The 25,728-nt window shown below is 37.5% G+C and overlaps 1 protein-coding gene across 10 annotated transcripts in view, besides 1 other annotated feature; it reads left to right on the forward strand.

The window, feature by feature from the left end:
• The window catches only part of C8orf34 (chromosome 8 open reading frame 34), a 488,651-nt gene that overhangs the window by 287,720 nt on the left and 175,203 nt on the right, over positions 1 to 25,728 (forward strand). For 7 of the 10 annotated variants that reach the window (NR_146187.1, XM_047421328.1, NM_001349477.1 and 4 more), the window contains one exon: positions 22,284 to 22,419. The exons of 1 other annotated variant lie outside the window; for it this stretch is intronic. Coding sequence is in view for 8 of the 9 variants with exons in the window: in XM_047421328.1 (XP_047277284.1) it covers positions 22,284 to 22,419 (136 nt within the window). In the remaining variant the exon portion in view is untranslated. Of the gene's footprint in view, positions 1 to 22,283; positions 22,436 to 25,728 lie in introns of all 10 variants that reach the window. 2 more of the 10 variants (NM_001349476.1, XM_011517449.3) reach the window with 2 other exon arrangements.
• Positions 22,517 to 23,502: an enhancer, noted in NCBI's record as "OCT4-NANOG hESC enhancer chr8:69552844-69553829 (GRCh37/hg19 assembly coordinates)". NCBI's record gives its function as "activates a minimal SCP1, AML or CMV promoter by ChIP-STARR-seq in naive H9 embryonic stem cells {active_cell/tissue: H9 hESC(naive)}" and the evidence as "EXISTENCE:reporter gene assay evidence [ECO:0000049][PMID:30033119]".

The raw sequence follows: 25,728 nt of genomic DNA on the forward strand, positions 1-25,728 counted from the left end.
TCTTGTCTTGAATGTCTCAAATGGATATCAATTTTCTTAAAATAATTTTAAGGGATGTTTAAACTCATGGTCTCTCTCTTTTTTCTTAGTAAAATTGCAAAAGTAATGATAAAAGTTATGCCACTGACATAAATACTTAAGGCCTTTCATTCCATGGTAAGAATAACATTAGTTTATTCTTTAGATATTTTGCTCTCCCATTTTCCTCTTTCCCATTTCTTTATCTAAATATAGTTCTTTACTTTTGCCAAAGGTTGAACATCTTATTATTATTTTGAAGATAGGGTCTTTCTCTGTCACCCAGGCTGGAGTGCAGTGGTGTGATCTTGGCTCACTGAAACCTGCTTCCCAGGCTCAACAGATCCTCCCACCTCAGCTTCCCAAGTAGCTGGAACCACAGATGCACAACACAACGCTCTACTAATTTTTAAATTTTCTGTAGAGACAGGGCCTCTCTATTTTGCTCAGGTGGTCTGAAACTCCTGGGCTCAAGTGAAACTCCTGGGCTCAAGTAATCCTCCTGCCTCAGCTTCCCAAAGTGCTGGGATTATAAGCATGCACCACTCTACCTGGCCTTTTATCTAGTACTTTATTTTTACAAATCAAAATAATGTGAATGAATCTAAGAACTATAAAATCAGCAAATAGCTTAAAAGCTTTTTCTCAAACTAGTGAGAGTTCAAATGGATCTAGAGGGGAGCAGACAAAAGGCAGATGGTCCTCACATTTGTGTCAGCCTTCAATAATGGATGTTTGAGTAAAAGAATAATAGACAAACATTTAAAATGAAATATTTTAATATATAGTTAAAGATATAATATCTAATTAAGTTTTAAATACCATGGATAATGTGTTACTGAAGACCAATGGAAAGAGATAGTTACTGAGAGCTAGGGGGATGGAAAAGTCTTCATGGAGGGCTGATGTTTGAGCTGAACTTTAAAGGAGAGGTTGGGCTGGGCACTGTGACTCCACCTGTAATCCCAGCACTTTGGGAGGCTGAGGCCTGGGGATCACTTGAGCTCAGGAGTTTGAGACCAGCCTGGGCAACATGGTGAAATCTCATTTACTACAAATACAGAAATTATCTGGGCATGGTGGCATGTGCCTATAGTCCCAGCTACTTGAAAAGCTGAGGTGGGAGGATCACTTGAGCCTGGGAGACAGAGGTTTCAGTGAGCCAAGATCACGCCACTGCACTCCAGCCTGAGTGAGAGACAGACCTTATATCAAATAAATAAAAATAAATACATAAATAAAGGAGAGGTTGAATTTTTATTGGCAGATAAATCATGAGAGGCTTTTGCAGATGAGAGGGAAACCTGAGCACGGACAGGCAGGCTGTAATAAACAAGGCATGCAGGGAACCTGGTTATCGTGAACCATAGGGATAATATTTTGCCCTTGAACCAATGTATTTTTCTAAATTTTGAATCATGTTTTAATTTTATATTATGTTTCTCTGCTGATTTTGACCACAATGAAGCTATCACCTCCAGGAAGAAAAGGTACCATCTAAAATAAGGAGGTTACTTACTGGTCAGTTTTATGTTTCAAAGCTAACTTCTTTGAGGGCACAGGTACATATTCATCTTAAAGAAAGACCTGTGGAGAGAGAATTTTGGAATTTTCCTAATTCCACATGTTCTCCCTTTGTATCTCTAATGCAAAGCTCCTCAGAGGTTTAATTATAAATCATAGTCACAATTTAGCAAAATACGGATATAAGGAAGGTACCCAGCTGATACAATGAAAGACAAAAGCCCTTATAATTTCTGGCCAGTAGGAAAAAAGGTAAAAAGACAAAATTAGGTCACAGATAAATGTTCTCATTTACTCCTCAGAATAGAAAACCTGGGTGTGTAGGGTATAGAAATAGTCAGAGTGAAGAGGATTAGAAGTGAAGAGGAAGGTGACAGAATCTTTACTCAAAAACCTCAGACTGATTGATGGAAAATATGGGAGCTCTTGGGCCATTGATTTCCATTCAGTATTCACACATCACGGAAGTGCAGGGTGAAATGGGGTGAAGAGAAAGAGACTAGCCAGATGGGGTAGGGATAGCACTTCCAACATTTCCTGAGCTCCTATGTGACAGGGAGGAGCCCCCAGTTCCTGTGTGCTCTGAGCGGGACCTGGAGGATAACTGGAAATTGAGAATAATGGGACTGACTTAATGAGGCGCAAAGGGACCTCACACCAGAGGGTGTGGCATCCCAGCCTAGGCCAGAGTCCAGGAAGAGGTTGGGGTTGGCATTCAGAGGGTCTGGGAGTGAAGGTGGAGCTGAGTCAGTGGTAGAGGGATGCGTACCAGGCTCCTGGCCATGCTGAGGACAGGCCGGGTCTAGTCACCAGGGAGAAGAGCTGTATTACCAGAGTGAGCAAGGAACACAAAAGATGGCCTCAGGTCCTGCACGGAGAGGAGCTCCCTTGCTGTCTACTGCCTTGAGGACACATCGCTTCCCCTTACAGCCAGATGCCACCTAGAGTGGCAAGAAGGAAAAATGAAACTTGAAAACAGAAAAGGAGTCTTTTTAGGGATTTTGAACCTAAATTCAACTATATCTGTGTCAAAAAAAAAAAAGACTAAGTTTACTGGGAAAAAAAAAAAGAAAAAGAAAATGTTTAAGCCAGAGGAAAAAGAAGATAACTGTAGATGGCAGATATAAGTGTCCATTAATTTAGTTTTAGCTTTTTTTTTTTCCCCCATTACCCAATAAGATGGAGGTTTGAGAGCAAGGTCAGATTATTTCTAGAAAATAAATTAGATTTTTTATCCATCCTAATTGTAGTTTGTTTTGGGGCACTCTGAAAGTATTTTAGAGATTGTAAATAAGTCAAGCCTCCTGGAATGGAGGGAGTTGTTTATATGCGGAAATAGTGATCCATAGAGTTAGAAATATATAAATATTTGCCCAGATGTGGGAACACCAATATATTGAAATTGGATCTGGAAATCTATTCAATATGTTTTATATGAAAAGTGTTCTTCATAATTTCAAAAGTTCTAGGAGATGTACCCCAGAAGAAGTACAAGATGTGTACTCCTCTGGCTGTGGCTTTATCTAAGCCATGGCTGGAGTCCATCCAGAAATGTTGAGCTGGGACAGTGGGGACAAAGTGGGGCACGTGGTGCTTTGGTGCTCCAGCAGTCTTTGTGTGTGTGTGTGTCTTCTATGAAAAGCTGCTACAAGCTGACTCCACTTTTTGTCAGAATATGTTTGTAAAAACCACATGTTGGATCAGAGACTCACAAACTGGATCATATTTTTCCTACCCAAATGATGTTATAATTGTGGTTTGAATTTAAGACACAGCATCAATACAACATAGCTGTAATAAACACTACAACACAAAAGAGAAAATTTCAGCCTTTATAAATAATTTAGACTTTTATAAATAATTTAAAATAGCAAAACTGTAAACTCTATATAAAATATTCTACGGTCAACTTGGTTATGTCATAAATTTGGCCAAATATTAACATTTGATAGCTGTCAGTCTTTAATTCATAATTTTGCTTGCCATTTTATAACTAGGAAAAATATTTTAGGGAATAATTTGAATGCCCAGGTGTCTTAAGATGGTTTGGAATCTTAACTGTTTTTCTTCTATATGTAAGTCTCACCTGATCTTCAACTTCGGTTAGTCAAGGCAAAACTGCTCACTGAAGTAATTCTTCAAGACTTCACTAAGAATTTTCTTCTAAGTAATTTGGGGAAAAGAAAAATTGCTTGAGTGTTGCATTCATTATTTATAGCTGTGTAATAAATGATCATATACTTAGCAGCTTAAAACAACACCCATTTATTATCCCACAGTGTCTGTGGGTCAGGACTCTAGGCACAGCTTAACTGGGTCTTCTACTTCAGGCCATCTCACATGGTTGTGATCAAGATTCCAGCCAGGGCTCATGAGGTCTCTTTTGAAACTCAGCTGGGGAAGGATCTGTCTCCAAGGTCACACAGTTGTTGACAGAATTCAGTTCATTAAGTGTTGTTGAACTGTGGGTGTCAGTTCCTAGCTGATCATTGGCCAGAGGCCACCTTCAGTTCCTTGTGGTGTGGCCTCCCCAGTATTGCAACTTGTTTCACACAAGTGTGCAAGCCAAGAAAGCAATAAAGTATGCCAGCAGAAATGGAAGTCAGTGTCTTGTAACTGAATCACAGAAGTGAAGTCCAATCAACTTGACAGCATTCTTCAGTTAAAAGCAAATCACTACATCCAGATGACTTTCAATGAGGGAGGAAAGCAGGGATCATGGGGCCATGTTAAAGTCATCCTGACACAAGTGTGTTCAGCATATTAATATCTACTAACCTCTTCCTCTTGTTTTCTTTCTGACATATGACGCTCTTAAAGGAAAAAAAAAATAAAAGTTGTAAGTGAGAAAGGGACCAGAACATATGTGCTTTTTGTGTTGCTTATATAGCAGTGTGGTAGGTCGATGGTATGGCAATGAGCTTGAGACTTTCATAATAGCAAAGGCATTGCAGTAAGTGAGCATAAGAGACAATATTTCATAAAGAAGATAAATATCAAGATAGCATCTTTGTTTTGTTAGTCATGGTATTTAGTGGCTGCGTAAACAGAGTGAGATCAATTGTAGTTCAAAAGGACTGGAGATGAAACTGAAGTTAGGAAAGTTGAGAGAACAAAAAAATAAAAAAGATGAGATGCAAAATATGGAGTAGCCACAGGGAACAAAAATTGGTGAAAGAGCAAAGATGTTTAAAGATGATTTGGGGGAAGTTTTGCTATGCAAAATTCAATTTAACTGTCTCTTTCATAGTGTCATGACATTTTCCATAAAATGTTCGTATATATCATTTGTGATGGGGTATCTGATGAAATACTGGACTGGTGTTATGGTAAAAGCAGAGACCCTTGCGGAGCAAGTCTTCTTTGTGTAAGGTAGAGTGAATCAGCAACGTAGTGTGAACAGGTTATTGTGTTATGGTTGGAAGAACATTGCCTTTGTGTTCAAATCCAGACTGTACCACATACTAGCTGTGTAACTTGATCAGATTAAACTCTATTAACCAAATGTCAGATTGCTTAGCCGAACCTGGCCTACACAGTTGTTTGTCCCACACATTAAACACTTTCAAAAGAGTTGCCCAGTCCTCAGCTTACACTCTTTATTGTCTTATACCTATGTATTTTATTCGTATATAGTACCTGCCTGTAATGCAATAAATAGGGCATTTGACAATCAGCAGTGGTTCTCAACCTAGCACCGTTTACATTTTAGGCTGGATAATTCTTACTTGTGGGGGGCTGGCCTCTACCAACTAGATCACAGTAGCACTCCCCACCCCACCCTCAGTTATGACAATAGAAAATGTCTCCAGACATTGTCCCAATGTTCCCTTGTTTTAAGGGGAGGGAAAAATCACCCGTGGTTGACAACCACTGCCTTGGATGTTGTTTTATGGGAGAAAATAAGGTGTAACATTTGAAAGCATTTAGTCCATTTGGCTGAACAAAGTACCATGGACTGGGTGGCTTATCAACAGGAGAAATTTATTTCTTACAGTTGTGGAGGCTGGAAGTTTGAGATCAGGGTGCCAGCATGGTTGGGGTCTGATGAAGGCCCTCTTCTGGGTTGTGGACCACTGTCTTTTTTTTTAATCCTTGGGTGGCAGAAAGAAGGGGAGAGAGCTCACTGGGGTCCCTCCTATAAGGACACTAATCCTATTCATGAGTGTTCCACTCACATGACCTAATTATTCCCAAAGGGCCCACCTCCTAATACCTTCACATCAGGGCTTAGGATTTCAACCTCTGAATTTTGGTAGGGACAGAAATGTTCAGTCCATTGCAGTACCTAAGAGAGTGATTGAAACACAGTAGACACTCAACAAATGATATTTTTCCTCTAAAAATGTGAAATTGGGCTGTGCGCAGCAGCTCACACCTGTAATCCCAGCACTTTGGGAGGCTGAGGCAGGTGGATCACGAGGTCAGGAGTTCGAGACTAGCCTGGTCAACATGGTGAAACCGGGTCTCTACTAAAGATGCAAAAAATTAGCTGGGCGTGGTGGTGCACGCCTGTAATCCCAGCTAATTGGGAGGCTGAGGTAGGAGAATCACTTGAATCTGGGAGGCGGAGCTTGCAATGAGCCGAGATCACGCCATTGCACTCCAGCCTGGGGGACAGAGGGAGGCTCTGTCTCAAAAAAAAAAAAAAAAAATTGAAATTGGAGAGTAGTTTCTCACACACAGAGTTAAGTAGATATAACTTGGTATGAATTGAAACACAGAAGACAAATAATATTATGTTAACTAACAAAAACACTAGTTTGAGAAATCATCTGTAGAAGGTGCATGTATAACACTTCAGCGGTATGTACATAAAAGCTGACCCTTAGCTCTAAATTTAGACAGATCAAACTTCAATTCTTGTCTCTTCCAGTTAATACTTGGGTGCCTTAGGCAAACCCTTTAGACTTTCTAAGGGATCTTATCTATAATATGCCTTATCTATAAAATGGAGACAATAATGACATGTATATCATGGTGTTGTGATCATTCACTCATTCATTCAATATATAACTAGTGTGCTTTGATATTTCAAGGACAATTCTAGGAAATAGCGATACAGCAGCGAATATAGACAGTTCCTGCCCTCCTGGGAATTTATTTATTTATTTATTATTTTTTGAAACAGGGTTTCACTCTGTCACAAAAAATGCAATGGCACGATCACAGCTCACTGCAGCCTCGACCTCTGGGAATCAAATGGTCCTTCTGCCTCAGCCTCCCGAGTAGTGGGGACCACAGGCATGTGCCACCATGCTCAGCTAATTTCTTGCTTTTTTTTTTTTTGTGTAGCTGGTATTTACTACATTGCCCAGGCTGCCTCCTGATAACTTATTAGTAAATAGACAATGAACAATAAATTTATAATGTAATTTCAGGAGATAATAAATGCTATGGGGATAAAGAAGTATAACAGAATAAAGAATGATAGAGGTTGCTCTCTTACATAAAATAGTCAAGGAGATCTCTTAGAAGGTGAACTTTGAGCAGACATGAATGTAGGGAGAGAACACAGTATGGGTTAGCTAGGTAAAGGCTTCTGGGGTTGAGAAGGGAGCAAGTACAAGAGACCTCAGGGCCGTAATATTCTTGGCCTGCTCCCAGTATAGAAAGAGGCTAGGGCTGCTGGATAAAAGGAATATATTATGTAGCTAATTGATACCTTTTTATATTTTTAATTTTTAAGTTTTCTCTTATCACCAAATACTCACTTTTAGGAAATTCAAAATATGTATCTAATGTGGGAAGTGAGATGAGGTTGTGAGGTGACAGAATGCTGCATGAGATGTTATTAAGGAAGAGCTCACAGAGGCAACTCTCCAAGAAAATGAAACAGAATTGAAAATGGTCTTGTAAAATTCCACTTGGGGTGGCGATGCTTTGTGGCTTGAAGTGTAAGGGATGAGAACAGCATGTGAATTCCAAGAAAGCAACACAGAATGGAAAATGGATTTACAATGTGTCAGACAGGGAGGCAACATCCTGTGGCATGTGGCTTGCATCTCAGCGGTGGGAAAGGTATGTCATGTGCCTGCTCCTCCCTGTGGCACACCACAAGGGAGTGTGAGTTGGCAACTATGGCCAATATACATCAACAGCAATTTTAGTATATGGCCAGCAAGGGTCTTCTTTTGAATTTGTCTCCAAATTTGATTCTTTTTTAATTTATTCCAAAGTGCTGAGCATGAGATAGAAATAAAGGAAGTTTGGAGGGGAGATGATAAGGATAGCTATGAAACTTAATGTCATTTCAGATTAACCACATTGGATTTAGAACCTTGACAAATGTGACTGGTGTAATGATATATTTTTTACTTTATGAGCATTAGTTGGTTAAAATTTGCTTCATTAAGAATGTTGCTTGATGCATTGAAAATCTCAATATTAATAACACAAAGTTCAACTTACCTTTTATAAATATTAGTTTGATTTTTTTGCAAGAGAGCAATGTTTAAAATCCATGTGGAGATGAGAGAGAGGAAGGGAAGTGAAGTAGAAAGGACATCAAATGGAGGAAAATTGAAGCAAAAGAGGTATGCAAAATTAAGGGTTTAGTGAAGGAACAGTAGTATCAGAGCTTAGGACTTAAGCAAATACAAAGACAGAATACAAGGAAAGAAAGGAATGGGAGAGTGGGAGATGTTCACCATCCAAATCTTGTTCCATTTGAAATCAAAGACAAAATAAACTAAAATTAAATCCTGAACTGAAATCCACTAATATGTCAATTTAGTTTTGTGCATTTGTGTTGTATATAAAGTAAACTGACTTCAGACAGAGTCAACTTTACTAATGACAAATTTAGAGCGTGGATGCAGAAAAGTTAACTGCTAAAATAGGGACTGTAACAATTAGTACATAATACATTTGTCTCTCCAAATGGCTTTTTTGAGTTAGCATATTATGTAACCCAATGCAGAAGCACTTATAAAAATGAGCTCAATTAATATTTGTAGTTTGGATTAAGAATCAAAATATCATCAACTATGATACAAGGTTCGATTATTAGGTTTATGGCCAAAATGCATGAGCAGTCAACACATTAATAAAGTACACATAGGAAGTTCTCAACATAGGATCTTATTTATTGACACAGGGGCTGTAGAAGTGTAAAAATTCTATTAAATAGGGTCAGCAATTAGTTTAGAAACTAAAAAGAATAAATATGTTTGATGTATCATTTATAGTGACTGAAATAATGCTTTCTGTAATATAGTGGTACCTAAAAGGGCCAGCAAAAATTCCATAAATAAAATGCTGGGGTGAGAAAAGCTTTTCAAAAAGACTGACTTAACTCTCAAGAAATATTAAATATATAAGATTTTTTTATCCAGAGAAGTGTCCTGGGAGAATTCGAATTGAATAAATATACTTTAAAATGGTAATTAAAATGATGAGCTTTTGCAAGATTTTGCAGTGTTTTTCATATTTGAAAAAAATTACACATTTTTACCCATCATCTTACAATAATCAATAATTTACATAATCCTAGTCTTTTAGGTTAACCAACCTCTCCTGATGACTACCTAGGTACCATCCTTGCCTTCTCCAGGTCGACACTCTGAACGTTCTGCCTGACTTTCCTCACTCTGATTTCCAGTTGTATTCCTGAACCCTTCTACCCTCTGTGCTGGTCTCCTTTCCATGGCCTTCTCCTACTGCCCCTCAAAATCTGGTCCCTGAGACAACAACTCCTCCTCTGACGTTGTCTCTAGATTTTTGTGTTGCTTACAATGTGTTGCACTTCAATTAAAGCTATTACTGGGCTTTCAGTTACACCAGGCAAGGCATAACCCTCCCCTGACATGAGTTCACATGCCAGGAATTTCTGTGATTTTTATGAAAGAGAATTGTTCACAATCTCTAACCTCTGTCTGTCAAACCTTCACAGGGTGACAAAAGTTACAGGAAACAAAGTGTATGCAATATAATCTTTTGTATTTGTGGTGTGTGAAAACTGAGAATAATAAAGATGCACTCTGATGCAGAAACCCAGTTTTGGGGAGTGTTTGGATTTGAATTTGCTTGAACTGGTATTTTCTTCCAGATTGGAAGAAGGAAACCACTCCCAGATGTCTTTATTTTTCTAACAGAAGAGCCTTCACAATTTAAATAATGAGGGGTTCAATTAGCAGAAGTCTTGTGATTCATTTGCAATCTAAGCAAACAAATTCTAGTCTACTAATTTTTACAAAACTCTGTGGTCATCCTGGGTTTGGCTATTGAGTTTGGCTATTGATGGTTACATTCAAAGAAATTAAAAAGGAACTGGTAAGTAACAAAGAAAATCTCAGAAAGTTTTTTACTCTTTTCAGTTAACAAGAGAAGACATGGAATATATGTAAATTTAAATGTATATAAACATTTTCCCTAACTTAATTAGTCTAATCACTTTCTTTCTTTATTGATCTCATGTGGTCAAGAAGAGTAAATATTCTGTAACCTACTTACTCTTATGTTATTAAAATGGAAAATTTCAACGCAGCACTTAAATTCCACCAGACCCTCTTTTTCCAAATGCAATTCTAACTTAAATTGTTTTTAAACTAAGGTTAACCTAAAAAGTTAAAACCTATAATTTCTGACATGTATTTTGTTCTTATTATTTATAAGCTTGATTATTTATGAGCTTGAAGTTGTACTATTCTGAGGTACTAAAGAAGAATGCTGAATTCATATTTAAGGTATGAGTGTAAAAATAGAGAACCAACAGAAACATGGCCTGAACATCTTTCCTTCGTCTTTCAACCAGAATATGTCCCAACAAAGTGAATTATGTTTCGTTCTCCTTTTTTTCTTTTCCCCTTTTTAGGAACTATAGCTGTCTCACATAACAAAAATGTTTTCATACACGTTTTATTTTAAACTTGTCTAAGTCCCGATCTGTTTTCTTAACATTTGCTTTATTTTTAATAATTCACTCAGAATATATAACATCTGCTTAAAACCTTTGACCAAATCAGCTTTATTGATATAAATCAACAAACCAATTGCAATTCAGGGAAAAACTGCCATAAAATTCTTGTGTAACCCATTGCTGAATCACTGTGAAGGGACTAATGTTTGGAAAGCTTTTAATTTTAGTTAAAAAGTTCCTTGAAACAGATGTGAAAATTCACTCATCTCCCACATTGTCTAGTTCAAGCAGCTGCAAATTATTTCATGGATTACATTTGAATGAATGTCCTGGGATTATTTCATCTAGGCAGCTGTTATTTCCTTAAATTAAATCAAAACACTTTTTTTGTTTGATTAATTCTTGGTTATTTGCTATTGTGTAAAGATGAAAAGCTCACATATCTTTGGTCATAAATTGGTTCATTTTCCTCAATACAACACACTTTTAAAGGGTATGTTTAAAAACAAATTACTGCTTTGAGCTTCCTAGTACAAAAAGAAAAAAAAATGTAGTACTCTCTTCTTTATAAGTTCTTAAATATAACATTCATATAATGCACACATTTTACTTGTAAAAATAGTTGCAAGGAGTGTCACTACTCAACTTTAACTACTGGGATGATAATTATACCAGGTTTTCTCAGCCAGATGGTCTATAGCTCCATTCCAAACTCCTTCACTAGATCCAGACTTGTCCCTCTGAGTGTCTACCAGACGTCCATATGTATATCTTGAAGATAGCTGTATCTCAGCATGCGTGAAACCAAAAACACCATCTCTTCCTGTATTCCCTAAAAGTGGTAAGATGGAGAAGCCTGTTCAGATGGCACATTCAGTTGTTCACTACACCCTACTGAATCTTCCTCTGAAATTACGTTTCAATACATTTCTTTCTCTTCTTACTCCTGGTCACTGCTTCCTGCCACATCTCCCTTTTCCAGTTTTTAAAGTTTTTCCAGTGGCTGTTTAGTGCAACAAATGTATTCCTCCAAAAACTAACATTCCAAAAGTCAATCCTATGTAAAGAATAATTTATCAGATGATCAATTAATTAATTATCAAATTATACAAAATCTTATGGTCAACAAATATCAATGAATGCCTACTCTGTGCTAGACATACTTCTAAGAAACTGAGATTATAATAATAAATGAGAAAGATCAAGTTTCTATTCTAAGGTGTCAGAAAAGAAAAAGATATTTTAAAATAAATGTAATAGGTGTGTGTGTGTATATGTGTCTGTATGTAAATGTGTGTTTATGTTTAAGTGAGTGCATGTGTGTATGTGTGTACAAAGTGAAGTAATGATAAGGGCGTGCGTATGTGTGTATGTGTGTACAAAGTGAAGTAATGATAAGGGCTTTAGAAAGAAAATAGAGCCAGATAAGAGTATAGCAAATAATTTTAAAATATTCTTTTGAATAGAATCAATAATATGATTGCATTTACCTCATGAATATTATTCTTAAATATTGTCAATAAATGTATTCTTCTTTGTATCAATTTAAGGAATATTTATTTAGTATAAAGCAATAGAACATAGGAGAGTTTATTTTAAAATATAACTTTTATTAATATATTCATGACATATATCATAAAATAGCACTGTCCAATAGAAAAATAATGAGTTACAAATTGAAATATAATTGAAACAATGTAATAATTTTAAATTTTCTAGTACTCACATTAAAAAAGGAAAAAGAAACAGGTAAAATTAATTTTAATAGCACATTTTATTTAAACTGGAATATCCATAATATTATCATTTCAACATGTAGTCAACAGAAAAGTTACAAATTAGATATTTTGCATTATTTTATTTGTATTATTTCTTTGAAATTCTGTGTATATTTAACTCTTGCAGCATAACTCAGTTCAGACTAGCCACATTTCAAGCACTCAGTAATAACATGTAACTAGTGACTCATGAATTCAACAGTACAGTTCTACAGTATATTGAATATATTCAACATATACACTATATCCATGATATTTAGTTGAATATATAATTTTATAGTCTTAAGTACAAATATCTTAATAAGAAATGCACTTATAGGTAATATATTTATTAATTCATTCACTGAATATTTTAGTTGAATATATTTATGTCATTGAGGAATATTTTATAGTGGTTATATTATTGGTAATATTGACTATATTCCAAAAAAGTCCTACAATTAATGTTTATAAATTTAGCAAATTATTTATTTATTTAATTGGTTTTTAATAAATATACCTACAATTATATTTCAGTTTTTTTTGCAGACAGGATCTCACTCTGTCTCTTAGGCTGGAGTGCAGTGGCACAATCAGAGCTCACTGCAGCCTCAACCTCATGGGCTCAAGTGATCCTCCCACCTCAGCCTCCTGAGTAGCTGGGACCACAGGCATGCCCCAACATGCCCAGCTATTTTTTTTTTTTTTTTTTTTTTAAAAAACAGGGCCCCAGCCAAGGTTCATGGCTCATGCCTGTAATCCCAGCACTTTGAGAGGCTGAAGCGGGCAGATCACTTGAGGTCAGGAGTTGGAGACCAGGCAGGCCAACATAGGGAAACCCCATCTCTACTAAAAATACAAACATTAGCCAGGCATGGTGGTGGCATGCACCTGCAGCTACTCAGGAGGCTGAGGCAGGAGAATCACTTGAACCTGGGAGATGGAGGTTGCAGTGAGCCGAGATCATGCCACTGCACTCCAGCCTGGGCAAGAGAGCAAGACTCTATCTCAAAAATAAAAATAAATAAATAAGTAAATAAAGACAAGTCCCCACTATGTTGCCAGGCTTGTCTCAAACTTCTGGGCTCAAGTGATCCTCCCACCTTGACCTCCGTCCAGAAGTGTTGGGATTACAATCAGGAACCACTGTGCCCAGCTAGTTATCTTTCTGAAACACAGAATTGATATGTTCCTGCATGATTATTATAATAATATCATAATTATTATAATCATTGATTATCTCCCTTTATCATCTAAGACTAAACTCTGTTTTAATATTCCATTCTGCTATCCCTATACATCTCAGGCTACATCATATTAGATGCATAATATTTCAGAAAGTACTATTGATATTGTTTGGCTCTGTGTCCCCACCCAAATCTCATCTTGAATTGTAATCCCCATGTGTGGAGGGAAGGACCTGGTGGGAGGTGATTAAATCATGGGAGTGGTTTACACCATGCTGTTCTCCTGATAGTGAGGGAGTTCTCTGGAGATCTGATGGTTTAGAGGTGTTCGGAAGTTCCCTCTTTGCTCTCTCTCTCCTGCCACTATGTAAGAAGTGTCTTGCTTCCCCTTCACCATCTGCCATGATTGTAAGTTTCTTGAGACCTCCTCAGCTATGTGGAACTGTGAGTCAGTTAGACCTCTTTCTTTTATAAATTGCCTAGTCTCGGGAAGTTTTTTATACAGTGTGAAAAAGGGCTAATACATAAAATTGGTACCAGGAATGAGGTACTGCCTAAAGATACCTAAAAATGTGGAAGCAATTTTGGAACTGGGTAATGGGCAGTGGCTGGAACAGTTTGGAGGGCTCAGAAGAAGATAGGAAGATGTGGGAAAGTTTGGAACTTCCTAGAGACTTGTTGAATAGTTTTGACCAAAATTCTGATAGTGACATGGACAATGAAGTCTAGGCTGAGGTGGTGTCAGATGGAGATGAGGAACTTTTTGGGAACTGGAGCAGAGGTCACTCTTGTTATATCTTAGCAAAGAGACTGGTGGCATTTTGCTCCCACCCTAGAGGTCTGTGGAATTTTGAACTTGAGAAAGATGATTTAGGGTATCTGGCAGAAGAAATTTCTAAGCAGCAAAGCATTCAAGAAGTGACCTGGCTTTTGGTAAAAGTGTATGCCCATATTCGTTCACAAAGAAAAAATCAGAAATTGGAAGTTAAAGGGAAGCAGACCGTAAAAGTTTGAAAAATTTGCAGCCTGACCATGCAGTAAAAAAGAAAAACCTATCTTCTGGCAATAAATTCAAGCTGGCTGCAGATATTTGCATAAGTAATGAGGAGCCCAATGTTAATGGCAAAGACAATGAGGAAAGTACCTCCAGGGCATGTCAGAGATCTTCACAGCAGCCCCTCCCATCGCAAGCCTGGCAGCCTAGTAGGGAAAAATGGTTTTATGGGTCAGGCCAGGGCCCTGCTCCTCTGTTCAGCCTTGGGACATTGTACCCTGCATCCCAGCCACTCCAGCTCCAGCCGTGGCTAAAAGGGGCCAAGGTACAGCTCAAACTATGGCTTAAGAGGATGCAATCCCCAAGTCTTACAGCTTCCACGTGGTGTTGGGCCTGCTGCTGTGCAAAAGACGAGAGTTCAGCTTTGGGAGCCTCCATCTAGATTTCAGAGAATGTATGGAGATGTCTGAATGTCCAAGCAGAAATCTGCTGCAGGTCAGAGCCCTCAAGGAGAACCTCTGCTACAGCAGTGCAGGTATTGGCTATTGCTACCCAGAAGTTAGAAAACTGCAGGAAATGGCTTCAGATTTCATAAATCTTCTGTAATATTAATAGAAGTACAGAGAGTTTTAAAAAATAATCAACCAACAGCCCTTGTACCTACACAGCCCACCCAATTGGAGTTGCTGCTAGAGGAAAATGAGTGTTTCTACCTCTTTTCTACCTGTTAAATCTTCTAGTTACTGCAGCTGCTTGACAAATCCTAAAACTTATGTGACGAACTAGATAGTAAAAGAATATAATCAATGCAATTCTTAGTTTTCTAGCCTCTCCAATAGAGGGGAGCACGGAAGCTAGTAAGAATAGGGCCAAGTGCCAAAAAACAATATCTGGCATTTTCCCCCCAACCTCAGTTGCTTTCTTATGTATTTCTTATAAGAGTTAAAACATTTATTTTTCTTCTGGGATGGGGTTGATCACATAATATTTTGTTATCTATCTTCTTAACATTCTTCTCTCACTTACTAGACAGTTCAATTTCAAAGCATCAAAATAGGGCAAGTATATTTTTTAAAATTCCCATCGGTTGATTTTTATATTATCCTTCTTTACCACTGTTATCTTAAGAATCACAAATTTCTTTGTTGTGGAAACTATTCCTAATTGCTTCTAAGAAATTTCCAGCTTACCAAATTTCTTCTTAACAAACTAAATTTTTATCTACTTGCAACCAAAGATGGTATATCTCCCATATCTATGGCACTGGGCTGGATATTGTAGAGAATATTTTGGAGAATATCTTAGGAAAGAAGTCCCAAAATAGGAAGGAAGAAAGAAAGAGTAGAAAAAAGAGAGGAAGAAAGAAAAAAGAAGGAAGAAAAGACAGAAAGGTTCTGATACTATAGGAGAGGCAGTACTTTACCTTTTCCCTTGTAGGAGTTTTTTTTTTTTATTTTTGTTTGGTTTTGTTTTTTGGTTTTTGGCTGAGCCTGAGAATTAAATTGACACAATAGAAATTAACAGAAGAAAATCCTATGAATTTATTTAATACTTAATACAGTTTTACATGGCATGGGAGCCCTCAAAAGGAAATGAAGATCCAAAAAACAGAGGCAATCACTTATATACTGAATCAGACAAAGAATGGTAAATTGTGAAGAATCTAATAAATAATATGGGAAGGCTTACAGGTTGAGATATTTTTAAAGATCTGTACAGAATTCTCTCTGTCTCAATTTTTTTGTCCTTGATGATAAGAATGTTGCTTTTCTTGTGGCATAAGTGGGCATCTTTCACATTGGAATTTCATTTTTTGTGTTTTTAAGAAATAGAATGAAGGTCAGAGTAATTTTCTTGCACCTGCTGTATTTCAAATGCCTTTAACTCAAAATAGTCAACATGCCAGAATGGCATATTTTTACCTCCTTCAATACCATTGGTATTCAAAGATTCTCAGTTTTCTACATCTAGGATATGTTCCTGGTATTTCCTCCCTCGACTTATGCAGTATTGAAAAGTCCTTAGACAGAATCTTACTTAAATTACTTAATTTGTTTTTCTCCCTTTCTATTATCATAAACTTTCCAAATTTTCCTCGGTTTAGGCATTTTTGGGGTTTTACTTTTCTTAATTACTTAATCCTAGACACCTGCTCCCTTAAATAATGTTGTCAAGGAAATGGAACTAGTGAGACCTAGATTGTATTTTATTTTATTTTTGTTCTTTGTATATTTAGCATAGATTATTAGTATCCTTCCATGACCAAACCAAATTTTTTATGGTTCTGTCACCTTTTAGAGCTTGGTAAGTATTCAGTAGTTATTAGGAGCTCATTGATCTTCTTTAAAATAATGAGTATTTGTAAAGAAAGAAAAAGTGAATGGATACTTTTCAGAGTGAGGCCTCTTCTAAGACTGCAGGAGCCAATTTCACTGCCATCACCACAGTCACATCTGACACTACAAGAACCATAGCAGTTGTTGAAGCAGTTTCAGCTTACAGCACTCTGAAGTCTCCAGTGAACCAGCAAATGAATTCCAGAAGGCTTCTGACTCTAGGGTTCTCTGTTCTCCCACACTGTGATAGTTATTCTGAACTGGAAAAAAGAGGTGCTATCCAGATGGGGTGTGAGGATCTGCTAGGAAATCCTCAAAAATTCTCATTAAATACACTCAAATTTGCACATGAAAGGAGAGTTCTGGCAGGGAGTTTTTACTGTTCATCAAAATGCAGTCATAAAATTCATGTCTTATTACCTTCTTTACATATGTCAAACAATCTAAAAATGCTTAGATAATTGCCATGGCACTCCATACCAGGATTCTGTGTCTTATTAGTTGAAAAATGGTACAGAAGCAAGTAGATAGTTGAAGATTTTGGCCTTTGAACATATCCTCAAAGGTAATGAGGGGCCAGCATGTCTGGGCTCCCTAGCCCAGAATTAACCACACAATTTCTTCATATCAGTATGAAAGACATTAATAAGTCAGTGTGGTGTGCTTTGTGGCTCCAAGATAAAAAAAGAGAAAGCAACTTTTAGTTCTAATTCATAACAAAATGGCCCCCAAAAGGTGATTGCTTCATTTAAACAAACATTCTTCTTTTACATAATCAACATATTCTTTTTAACAGATGTACCCTAAATCATAGAAGTATGATGAGAAGGTATGGGAAACTTAGATTTGGATTAAGCCATTTAGTACAATGCTTCTGCAAAACTCTAATTTGCCCACTATAAACAATTATTTAGCCTCTGCTTTTAACATTTCCAGGAATGGGGTAATCACATCTCCTACACAGCACTGTACAGTATGCCTTTGAGCAACTATAAATGTTAAAAGGTTGTTATATTGATGAGAAACACACTCTCCTCTTATGCACATTTCTTCTCTGCAGGCACAGGGGGAACTCTAATATCTCTTCTCTATGACAAACCTTTAGATATTTGAAGGTTGCCATTGTGGAAATAAATGAAGACTACACAAATGAAAACAAGCAGAGAATATTTATCTATTTATTCAGAGCTGGTTATAGAACGGGAGTTAGCCACTATCACTTGCATTTACCAGAGACCCAAAGGCATGCGGGGGGAGTAGGAAAACTTTATAATAATAATTTTTAAAGGGAAGGCTTTGAATATGTTCTGATTGGAAGTTGTTGGCATGGGAAAACTGAAGAAGGGCTGACTAGAAACTATCTTATGCAATTGGTTTTGGGAGTGCATTTGGCTTTCTCCAGTTGGTTCTGAGTTGGAAATAGGGGTGAAACGAGGGAAACTGATCTTTATTGATGAAGTCCTGAATGTTTTGAGGCAATGGCTGCAGAGACTGTGGGTCAACGTTCTAATGCTGCATATGATCTGGGCAGGTGCAGTGGCTCACGCCTATAATCCCAGAACTTTGTGAGGGCAAGGTGGGCAGATCACAAGGTCAGGAGATCGAGAACATCCCAGCTAACACAGTGAAACCCTGCCTCTACTAAAAAAAAAAAAAAATACAAAAAATTAGCCAGGTGTCGTGGTATGTGCTTGTAATCCCAGCTACTTAGGAGGCTGAGGCATGAGAATTGCTTGAACCTGGGAGGAGGAGGTTGCAGTGAGCCGAGATCGCACCACTGCACTCTTACCTGGGTGACAGAGCGAGACTCTGTCTCAATAAAAAATAAATGATTGTCTGCATGTATATTCAATCTCCCTTCCTTTGGTCACTCTCTTTTTTGCCAAAAGGATGTTAGTCAAAAGGTAAGGTGAGAGATCCCGAGCTTCACTACTTGATGATTGTTCTGTTGTATCCTTAGTCAATCATATCACAAGATCTTTTTCATCTTTTTTGTTGCATCATCATTGCAATCATCTGCTGAGAGAGTGGCCACATACAAGCATTTAAGCCTCCACATGGAATTCAATGTACCAGCATCATGGACACTGTGATAAAAACAAAAACAATTTAAGTCAATTTAATATTGACCTGGTTCTTCAGAGCCAATGGCGTGACTGACTTTGTTCTTCAGAACCAAGAACTTGAATTGTCCAACCCAGGCTAGAAAAACAAATCTCACAGGTCATGAGGACCAAACTTAGAGAACCAAGTAGCCTTTTGTCAAGCTGACATGTAGACTTTTCTACCTTACCTGTTTCACTGATCCAAGTATAGCAAGAAGTATCAGCAATGGTACATATACCACCATGACTAGTGAAAAGAAAATCCAGAAGAATGAGATTGTTCAACTCTCTTGCCAACAGTTGAGATGGATCTGTATTCTATCTAGGGTAGAAGTAGTATCACTTATAGTTTCTGCCAGCATTAGTGATACATGTCTTATAGTCTTCTGTTTGCATGGTTCCTATTGCTGGAAACTGCTTTGGTTGTTTGTATAAACAATGAATCAGTAACTCCTCCAAGTAGAGTGCCTGAATATTAAAGGGAGGCCTCATTTAGGAGCTTGCATCAGAGTTAAAATTTCCAGCCTTGATGATCTATAGAATTAGGGTGTCTGTGTACCAGTAAGATTTCTAATGCTATTTTTAAAGTGCATGATGTATGTGTGCATGAAGCAAGCAGGACTAGCTATCTAGATGCAAGGAAAGTAGTATCTGGTAGGAACACACAGGGATCCAGAAAAAAGAAATTGTTCATGACCTGAGGTTGGATCAAGGCTGTTCATTAGTTGGGTTACACATGTGAATCTCTATTAATCTCTTCCAGGTGACAAGTAATTGGCTCATCCTCCTATGAAGGCTGTTGAATTCAAATTTAGAATTACATAGATTCTAATTAGTAGATTATAATAATAGGGTTTTTTTGTGAGAAAGGGACACTAGCAAAATCGCAGGTTGATTTATCCATGTAAGTTCAAGTGGAAATGCTTTGGCTTTAATTCCCTGTGGTCTCATTTGATGAGACCGAAATTTTCCAAGGGTTTTTGATTATGGTAGTCTCATGAGGGATAGCATATCCAGCAATCAATGAGCTTGAAGGTTACTATTTAGGATAATCCAAGATTAGTGTTAGAAAGTGATTATGCTCTGATCCGAAATTTTAATAAGAATAAAATGAAAGAGAAAAAGAGTCATTGTGGGTAGGTAACTACCAGGGGTCTTTAGAAAATGAGAATGGCTGTAATTAAGTAGATAAAAAACATAATAGCAGTTACACCAGGGATCTTGATCCAATATGGTGGGCAGAAGCTGTCTACTCTCTGAGGTCATTATCTCCCTCTGAAAGTCTCCAGTCAGCTGTCTACTCTGAAGATTTAAGATTGTAACCAGTTTATCTGTACCATGATGAGTCATTTCATGGAGGAATTTAATTAGTATTCATTTGAAGCCATCTGGTGCCACCAAAAATGCCAGAGATTATCTGAGTAAAGCTAGAACTTTTTTTTTTCTTTTTTTTTTTCAGAATTAGGGGCTAAATATTGATATTTTATAATGGTGTCTTATAAGTACTCTAGAGATTTATTCTCTAAAATTTTAGATAGGTTCATAACCTTGATTAAGGCTGCTTCTTTAGCAAAATATTCCATTAGAACATTTCTTTTAGCTTCTGTATTGTTTATATTTTCATTAGCTTCAATCTTTATAATAAACTACCTCTGTATGGAGCAGGAGTATATCTAAAAGTGTTTTAAACATCTTCTCTATGTTTGATGGAGGTTCTAGCAGAGTTAGGAAACCCTTTGTTTTCAGAGCACGCCAAAGTCATGTATTTTTTTTTAATTGTACCTGTATATATATTTACTCTGAGGTCGTTGTCCAGTTAACAAACTGGACAAGTTTTTGATGACTCCCATGAAGTTGAGTACGTACAATATTTCTGCCATCTGGACTAATTTTACCTCCAATAGAGGACTATATTTCATAGTCACACAAATTAGTGGTAGCATACTCTGCTTGATAACCTCTAGTTTAAAGTTCTGAAATATGATCCAGCAACAAATAATATTGGGTCACGGTTTTCAATGGCAGTTCTTAAAAATACTGAAGTGCAGAAAGTTTCCTAACTGCGGTAGGGAAATCACGGGTTCACTTCTTCTGGTAGGGGCAGGAGAGTAGCAAAAATAGGGTGTTCTAGTGGTGAACAGTAATGTGAGAGGAAGAGAGTAACAGACTCTCATGAGTGTTTAATGCTGGCTGAAAAGTGTGTGTTCAGAGGGAGTAGTAATGGCTGTATTGCATGAGGAATCATGAGATCAAGAGGGAGGAGCCTGTAATTAGCTCTGCAGAAGCACCAGGTTTTGAATTGGCACCTAGGCTCTTAAACAAGGGGAATAAGCCTTGGTAACCAGGTCAAGGTGATAAGTTTTTGATGACTCCCATGAAGTTGAGTTAAAACCCTAAGTGTTTTTCCAGTTTGCTTATGTACAAGTGGACAACAAGGCTTTCACTTGGGATGCCTATGGAAGAAGCCTGTTGACAAGGCTTCTTCAGATTCCAGAAGGCCGGTTCATGATTTAGACTGAGTTGTCACCATCCCAGGAACAATTTATTTGACACTCATTTGTAATATCCAATTAAAACGTGCAATCCTCCTGATTGTTTTTTGAGGTATCTAGGATGTTTTTATGATCTTTAGTCATCAGAAGATGGTGATTTTCCTCCTCACATATGTTATGCCTTCAATAATGAATTAGATTTTTGTAAAAATTATGATTTATCTTTTGAAACTTTATGTATCTTTAGTGCTAAAGCTGAGAGCAAGTAATTGGAATCCTTTTTACAAGCTTCCTTGTTCTCTGAAAAAGTAGGAGATCATATACATATTGTAACAGAGCTGAATCTCAAGAGAAAATTTAGTTCTTTTCATTCTTGATTAAGGACCTGGGAAAAATAGAAGTGGGCTTCAGTAAACCTTTGGAGCATGACTATTCAGGTTTACTGTTTTCCTCCCCAGGTGAAGGTAGAAAGCAAACATTGAGAGTGAAAAAGGGGAAGACATCAGTTATATTTTGATTGGAGGTTGTTGATGGGGAAGCTGGAAGCAGACTCGTTAGAAACGGAGGATTTATGCAATTGGTTTTGAAACATATTTGGTTTTGTGTGGTTGGTTCTGAGTTGAGAACAAAGGAAAAATATAGGAGAGCTGGCAGTCATTGACCAAGTCCTGACCATTTAGGGCTGATTGCTGCAGAGGTTATAGTTTGGCTTCCCCAGTGGGTATGGCAGAGTTTGTGTGTCAGTGGTCTGTGGTCATAAGTGCTCTGCCCACTCTCCATATATTCAGTCTGTCACCGTTTTGTCTCTTGTAAATCTTCACACATAATTTGTCTCCAACTACGTCTAGAAATAATTTGAAAAATAATTGATATATGTAGTTAGATTTTTGCAAAGGGGATATATATTGTTTTGCTTAACAAACTAATGGCAGATACCTGAAAATATGAATTTTTCTCCTTAATTCCACTAGAGTTAATTTTTTTCTCTGTAATTGTTTGTGTTGTTACAGAGGATCTTAATGATTTAAGAATGGAGGGAGTAACAACCCTGGTACCTTCTGGGAGCAAATTTAACCAAGGCCGTCCTACTTACCCTGCTGAGCCTCAGGCCAAGGTCACACTGAACATCTGTTCAAGGTGTGCCAGGTAAAAGACATAATAGGTATAGTATATATAAACATGATCTTGATTTTTAAAATCTAAGATTTTGATACAAAGATTGTACTCTTCTGTGTTAAGAACATCTTTTCCTTCCAGCGATCTTTTGTGCTAATATTGGCAAGGGAGTTAGTTATGCAGTTTATCCTGTGCCCAGTGCCACTCAGACCAACAATGAATCAAAGAGTTTAGATTGTCTTCACTTCACAGCTTGAGACTATTTTATGTCTTCTGTCTCTGAATTTCATTCACTGTCCACCATTCCGTTCTCTTTCAAAGAAAATTTAACAGCTCTGAACATTCAAAGCCACTTTTAAAGCACCTGCATAGAGGAAGAGTTTGGCCAGGTACAGTTTAAGATCTGATATTATTGACCTCTTAACCTGCCCCTTATCCTGTTCACCTCCTGGAAAGAATTTAATCAGCTTGACACTTTCAGTTTTGGCAGCTGGAAGCAATCTTTGCATATACTGTATGTGGCCAAAGAAGTAGCTTGTAGTTACTGCCAAGTCAGCTCCCAGTGCTGGTCTAGCAGAAACTCACCAAATAGCTAGAATTCATTCCTTTGTAGGAACTAAATCTCATTTGCAAAGAGGCTTTTAAGCCTGTTTAAATGATGAAACAAGCCTTCTAACCCTTATGTAAATGGTCCAGATTAGCAAGAACAATGTACTGGCTGGCCAATTTTATCTCCTTTTCTTTATGTCTAGCTGCTCTATTGTAGTGTTTGAGAGGAGATTAGCTGCTTGGATATAGGGAGGGAGGAAAGCGTAGGAAAATCAAACCAGATTTTTGTAGCTTTTTCTCTTTTGCTTTACCCCTTTGGAAGTTTTATTTTAATTTTCACAGGCTTAGAAAAATAGAAAGGACAGCTCTTAGAAAATCAGGGGATGTTATCTGAGGCCACTAAGAGAAATGGCATGGCATAGCATAGTGAAAACCGCAATGGAAACATTGCTTCAGACAAGTAATATTTGGTGGATTGACTTTTTTTAGTAGGGCTGTGAAGAGAACTTCTAATATTTATGTGATAATATTTAAGCATCCTGAGTGAACACAGTCATCAGTGGAAGAGTTATACGATACTTTGTTTTAAACTTTGTAGTACAGTTGTATATTTACATTTTGACTGGAGAGGGGTCGATGCTTGGTTCATGTCATTTGTAGAAGACTGGGATATGAGGTGTTTGTTTTTTCAAAACAGAAAGTTTATAAAAAATGTTTTTCTAATCTATTGAGGATTTGAACTGTGAAAGGACCAAGCACATTTTTAGCCCTAAATTATCATTCAGCTTCCTAATATATAGACTGTAAATCACAAACAACCTGCATTTAAAGTCAGAACTTAACAGAATTTTTCAAAAAATATTCAACGGAATAATCATTGGTGGCATGTATTACTTTCTTACTATAAACCACATACTAGTCTAAAGACATGAAATGTGTAAACTGATTTAATTTGCAGATCATTCTCGGAGTTAATTACTATTACTATCCCCATTTTATAGATAAGAAAACTGAGGCATGTATTGATTGAATAACTTGTCCAGAGTAATACAACCAATAGGTAGAAAAACACAGTTTGAAACTCAGGCAGCATAGGTTGACAGTCTACCTACTAGTCATTCTGCTTTATTGGTAAGCACCAAGTTATTGTCTGAAGGTGAAGATGGAGGCCTAAAATAGATAAAAACAATGAGATAGAAAGAGATTTAGGTGTTTGAAATGATGAAAGTTCATGACTGTTTTGATGGAGAATAAGGCATTGTTGTACTTTCAAAAGCAAAGGAGAAATATATTGATTCAGATAAATGTGGTAAACAGTATGGAAGAAGATTCTAGACTGTTCATTTTAGAGCAGCTACTATAGCTAGAATTTAAAGAAAAAACAAGTATCAGTTGTCGAGAACTATAGAGAATCTGAGATTTTTTCCCATTTGGAGCTTTATATATTAGTCTACCACTGTTTTATGCATACTAGGAAAACTCATGAAACACCTGGGTCAGAGACCAAGGACTTTACTACTTACAGCAATAACAATAACCAGGGTATTAGCATCTTCACTGGTTTCCTGAGCCACAGTTCTCAGAGTAACACAAATAGTGCAAAAGGTTATATTATGTAAGAGGAAACTGAACTTAGAAAATGTGACTATTCCATAACAGACCATTAGCACTCCTGTGTGTTGCTCCAGGGAGGGCCTCCATCTGTATCCTCCAAGGCTGTGTGTTAGATCAGCAGTCTTCAACCGTTTTGGCACCAGGGACTGGTTTCATGGAAGACAATTTTTCCATGGATGGTTGATAGGGTGGATTTTGAGATAGAACTGTTCCACTTCAGATCATCAGGCATTAGGTTCTCATAAGGAGCAAGCAACCTAGATCCCTTCATGCATGGCTCACAATAGGGTTCATGCCCCTGTGAGAATCTATGGCTGATCTGACAGGAGGCGGAGCTCAGGTAGTAATGCTCCCTTGCCTGCCGCTAACCTCCTGCTGTGCCAGGAGGTTCCTAACAGGCCACAGACCAGTACCGGTTCATGGCCTGGGGGTTGGGGACCCCCATGCTATACAAATATTCTTGAACAGGTGATCTGCAAAAAAGGCTGTTAATGTCTTTAAATATGAGAGACACATGGAGAACTGTCTCCCATTGCTACTTTGGGTAGATTACTTTTGTCATACGTTGATGTGATTATCAAAGCTTTCCATCATTAATTCTCCAACACCAATCCATGTCATTGTCTCACCTCTCTTTTTGCAAGTAAGGCATTTAAAATTGTGAGAATTATACTTTCTAAGCAGGGCTGAGCAATTATCAGAGGCAGAAGTCATAAACAGAATCACGGTGGGGAATGTCTGGTTGTATTGTGTGTCCACATAATGCTTTGAAATACCACTTGATTAGTGTCTTAGTCTATTTGGGATGCTATAAAATAACACAGAAATACCAAAAACTGTGTCTTATAAATGACAAGTATTTATGTCTCCCACTTCAGGAGACTGAGAAGTCCAAGATCAAGGTGCTGGCTGATTCAGTGTCTGGGGAGGACCTGCTTCCTCATAGATGGCTGTCTTCTCATGGTGTCCTCCCATGGTGGGAGGGTGAGCTAGCTTTCTGGGGTCTTTTTTATAAGGGCACTAATTCCATTCATGAGGGTTCCACCCTTGTGACCTAATCACCTCCCAATATCCCTACCTCCTTATACTACCACACAGGGGGTTATGTTTCAACATATGAATTTGGGAGGGGCACAAACATTCAGACCATACCAATTAGTTACCAATTTCACATAA

Source organism: Homo sapiens, chromosome 8 (assembly GCF_000001405.40).
Source record: "Homo sapiens chromosome 8, GRCh38.p14 Primary Assembly".
NCBI classification, from domain to species: domain Eukaryota; kingdom Metazoa; phylum Chordata; class Mammalia; order Primates; family Hominidae; genus Homo; species Homo sapiens.